This window comes from Homo sapiens, chromosome 8, assembly GCF_000001405.40.
Source record: "Homo sapiens chromosome 8, GRCh38.p14 Primary Assembly".
Classification (NCBI taxonomy): Eukaryota; Metazoa; Chordata; class Mammalia; order Primates; family Hominidae; genus Homo; species Homo sapiens.
In genome coordinates, this window is record NC_000008.11 from 12,818,292 (window position 1) to 12,823,614 (window position 5,323).

The following is a 5,323-nucleotide window of genomic DNA, read 5'->3' on the forward strand; positions in this document are numbered from 1 at the left end:
CTTTTCTTGGTGGTTTCTGTTATCTTCCCTAAACTTTAATTTAATGTGATCTTACTTAGGCATTTCTCTTAGAGAGTAGGTCATTATAACGAAGCATTTTTCACCCTCTGGGAAAGAGGTTTCCACATAAGGGCCAGGCCACGTTTTCCCTTTCATCCAGGGATTCTACCATAAGCAGCCTCTCATCTTCACTTTTCCCAAAAATTTTCTTAAAATCAGTGTATTTTTTTGCAGGACCGGATATCACATTACATTCTCTAGTTGGGGGTGGGGGGCGGGATGGGAAGTGAGAACAAAGAACGATAACTCCCGAAGTGATTTTTTAAAATGTAAACTTTCTTATGAAGCATAACATAGACACGTGCCAACATTAAGCGTACAGCTCCATGAAATTTTATGCAGACACTCACTCATGAAACCACAACTAGAACAGGAAATAGGATTTTGCCAGCACTCCTATAAGGCACCTTGCAGTCGCTCCCCTCCCCTACCCCACTCCAGAACATAACAAGCTCATTTTCTGACTTCTATCACTGTAGATTAATTTGCCGCTTTTCCAAACTTCCGTAAATGGAATCGGACAGTACATACTCTTTGGTACCTGGCTCAATATTCTGTTCCTTGAGTGTGCTGAAGCAGTCATTTGTTCAATTTTATTGCTGACTCATATTCTGTGCTATGAAAATGTAACAATTTATTTTTCCATTCTACCACTAATGGGCCTCTAGAGTCTTTCTACTATTTGACCATAATGGAAAATGCTGCAATAAAAATTGTTGTGCACGTCTTTTGAGAGCACATGTACCTATTTCTGTGGATATATACCTAGACGTGTAATATCTGGGTCATAAATAGTCGTGTGCCTATGCAGGCTTGCAGTGCCTCATGAGAGCCTAGTTTTTGCAGTCTAATTGTTAAAAATAGCCATAACTGAAAATTAAGTTATGTAAACTTACCATTAAATAAAATAATTTTTAAACAATAATAAATACTCAAAACTGATTGTTTCCTATTTTACTACATTTGACTAACATCTGTTTGATTAATGAACATTTTATTATTGCTGCTTAATTTATGATTCTACCTAAGATATTTTATTTTTATTTACTTTTTTTTTTTTGAGACAGAGTTTCACTCTGCTTGCCCAGGCTGGAGTGCAGTGGCTCAGTCTAGCCTCACTGCAGCCTCGACCTCCCAGGCTCAGGTGACTCTCCCACTTCAGCCTCCCAAGCAACTGGGACTACAGGCATGTGCTACCATACCCAGCTAACATTTTTGTATTTTTAGTAGAGATGGGGTTTCACCATGTTGCCCAGGCTGGCCTTGAACTCCTGGACTCAAGCAATCTGCCAACCTCGGCATCCTAGAGTGTTGGGATTATAGGCATGAGCCACAACACGCAGCCTGATACTTTAGGATTCCGGCAAATAGAAGATATTAATACAAAACAAAAACAACAAAAGCATTTAATCTAACTTATGGTAGAGACTTCCAATCTCAAGAGTCAGTGCCTCCCTTATTTTAACCAGTCACCATAGAAAACCTGAAAAACAGAGCCTGTAAGAGGCATCTGAGAGGTCTTCAAGAGACTGAAAATACTAACCAGGCCTCGGGAGGACTGAGAAGATCTGCTGTGCTGACCCTCCAGTTTTGACCAACATGTACAAATGGAGTCATGCTTTCATCTCATACCCACAATTCTGCTCGGGACGTAATGTCTTAGTCTGTTTGGGTTGCTATAGCAAAATACCTGAGGTTGGGTAATTTATAAAGAGTAGAGATTTATTCTCTTACAGTTCTGGAATCTGGGAAGTCCAAAATCAAGGTGCCAGTAGATTCCATGTCTGATGAGGGTGCGGTCTCTGCTTCAAAGATGGCAGCTTGATGCTGCATCCTCCCGAGGGAGAAATGCTGGGTCTTCACATGGCAGGAGGAACAGGAGGGCAAAAGGGGGTCAAGTTTTTCCCTCCATCAAGCTTTTTTTTTTTAATGGCATTAATCTGTTCATGAGGATGGAGCTCTTACGATCTAAACACCTCCCAAAACCCCCCACCTCCCAGAACTCTTGCATTGGGGATTAAATTTCCAACACATGAATTTTAGGGGACATGTTGAGCCCATAGCACTTGGTAAGAGAGAGGAAAACAAAAAGCAGTGGGCAGAGGCACAGATGAGATGAGATGATCAGGACCTGTCTGAAAGTTGCATGCTTCCCCACCCCCATTTACTGTGAATCTTTCCTCACTTCCTTCTTTGTCTGGATCATAGAATGATATACGTGCTGCCGAAGCGAGTGGTGGATCGCAGAATGATAAGGGAGAATTTGGTAAATGGGAAGGGTGGTTTTTGTGTCTCCAATGGCCTGATCAGTATAATGATGTGGCTTGAAAAAATAATCCCTTAGGTTACAATCAGTTCAAATTATTGAGTCGGCATTTAATCATTGCAGCACGTATTAGAATCGTGTTCATGACACTTTGAGGTGCATTGATCTTTAATAAGGTAAGAAGAGAATATTGGCTTAATTTTACATATGAAGAAAGTGAACCTTAGAGGGAAAAAGTGACCTTCTTATGAGCCCAAGTGAGTTAGTAGAAGAGTTAACTGGATCTAGAAACTCAAATTCCTAACTCCCAGGCACGTCCTCTTTATCACTCCTGGTGGCTTTTTTTATTATTATTAGTGATACTAGTGATACTGGATCCCAGAAGACACTACAGTGAAGTTCGGAGTTTCCCTTATTCTGCTGTTTATTCTGTTGACTGCAATGCAACCAATGGGCCTTAACACTTGGACCCATAATTAATTTTAGATTACAAGAGAGAATTCAACTCACACTAGATTGAGTAGGGGGAGACAAGGAGCGAAATTTATTGGATGGAGTTGAAACGGGAAAAGTTACCTTGTCCCCCTCACAGGGCATGAGACATGGGGAGTGACTCGCTTCTTCAGTGCCCTGCTGCTCACACCTCTTGGGAAGCATACAGACAGGCAGGCTGTGGGGCTCTGACTCCCTCCCGCACTCTGTAGGGGTGAATGTTTGCAGCTTCTGAAGCCCCAGTGGGCATGTGTTACAGGGTGCTCTGAGTTTGCATGTATAGGCGGCTTTTGTTAACCAGCTCAATTAGACGCTCTACCTCCTTGCAAGGACAGAGGGCTTTTTGTATTCCCGGTTCTTGCCTTGGTCTACTGAAGAACTGGATCACTAGCGGGCTTGGAGAATGAGTGCAAAGTTTTGAGTGGAAATAGCTGTCTGCCAATGGGGAACTATGAGGGAGATGGTTTTCCCTTGGAGTTGGGCCACTGGGCACCCCAGCTCTCTGACTGCCCTGGCCAAACTCTGCCTCGTCCCACCAGCCAGTGGCCTGCGGGCATGCCGCAGTCAGTTGGTGTGCTCTTCTGCCTGCCTGCCGCTTGCCTTGTCTTCTGCTGATGTGCTTCTCTCCATGTCTGGCCACCTGCGTCTCTGCCTTGCTAGGGTCTGGAGTTTTCATAGGCCCAGGGTGGGGGCGTGGCAGGCCAGGGTCGTCTTGGGAAATGCAACATTTGGGCAGGAAGGCAGGAGTGCCTGTCCTCACCTAGGTCCGTGGGGGTGGAGCCCTAGCCAGGGACCACGCCCTCCTCTACCCAGCACTTCCCTTTCCCCTTTCCATATTATTCAAAGGGACCATGCTCTTCCCTTCTCAGCACTTCCGTATCAGAGTGCAGGTGGCCTTGGTAATGATTAGCACAGGGGACTCAAATGTCGTCCACTTTCCTCTTCATTTACTGCCTCTGCTTTGCTCAGCATGATAGCTTGTCTCTTACTTCACCTCTCCTTTCTCCAAGCTGCAGCAGACACAACGGGTGACAGCTCATCAACTCTGAGAGGAAAGGGATCCCCTTTCATGCTCTTTTCTAAAAACAATCTGTAAGGGAAATTTTGATTGTCATGACCTTGGATATAAGTCCACTTCCCTGCAAAAATCAAAACGGCTGGGAAGATACGATATTATGACAGGCCATGTTGAGAAAGGTCTCTGCAGGTAAACAAATAATTGAGGCCAGAAAGGTAAGGTAGCTGTTTTATAAACCACATCAGCAATGGAATGGGGGTGGTAAGGAATAATTCTCTTAAAAACAGGTGGGTACCATGGTCGAGGTGGATACCACTGGGGTTGTGAGAAGCCAGGAAGCCACATCATCTTTTACCAAGAGGATGGCCTCAATATCACACTATTTATTATTTGAGTTACAAGGTTGTAGAGGGAAGCAAATGTCAACTGAACAAAAGCCCTCACGAATGAACTGTCTGTCCACTTAGGGAGATTGTCACTGATTTTCTTTTTAGATTTTGGAAATAAAATTGTTATCACAATGCCGCATAATGGAAAACAATTGACAAGTGAAATCAGCAATCATGCAAAAGTTGACTTGAAAAAACAGATTTCGGGAAACTGCTCAAATCATACACATATCTGTTGATAATGAGGACCTGACAAAGTAACAGCAGTTTACAACTGAGGAAAAGAGAGCCAATGATTGCATGATGTGATTTCAGTATCAGAGAATTAAGAATGGCCCCTGGGAAACAGGTCAAATCCTAGAATGTTTTAGTGAAATAATCCTCTTTACCATCACACTGCATCAATGAGGCACATAAAGGAAAGGTGTGTAAAAGGGCCAACCTACATTTTTAGAAAGACAATGCACCCCAAAACTTTATACATAAACATTTCCTTTATTGTTTGTTCATTTTAAAGAATTAATATATACATGCAATGAAAACCAATATTTTATTAAATATAAGATAAAATAAGCTTATATTTACAATTCCCCTGGTTACTTTTCAAGATTAAATCTTTTTTTTAACTATTTACTATGAAATGTTAGTATTCCTGTAAGGTGATTCTCCACAATTGATGTTTTCTGGTTAGCAATATTCCAAAGTAATCTATCTATAAGTTGCTGTTTCAAAGAGCTCCTCTTACTAAGCTAAATGATTTTGAAATGTGGTTTAGGGCACCTAAAATTGTTTGTTTATTTCTCTCCTTCCTCTAAGTAGTTGTGCCATTTCAGCTTATCCTACAATGGCTTCTTGGAGAGTTCCAGCTGACATATAATCTTTGTACATATCTAGTTGAATGAATTCAATATTATTAATTGCAGTTCAATTTGATTATGATACACTGAATTGCTTCAAAGTGGACAGATATCTTGTATTTGAGCATTGTAGTTTTGGTGATATATTTTTAACTGGTTATTTGACCTCTGGGAAAGGTCAATCTGAAGCTCAATGGCAAGACTAACAACTATTCAGGACAATTGCTTAATATTAAATGAT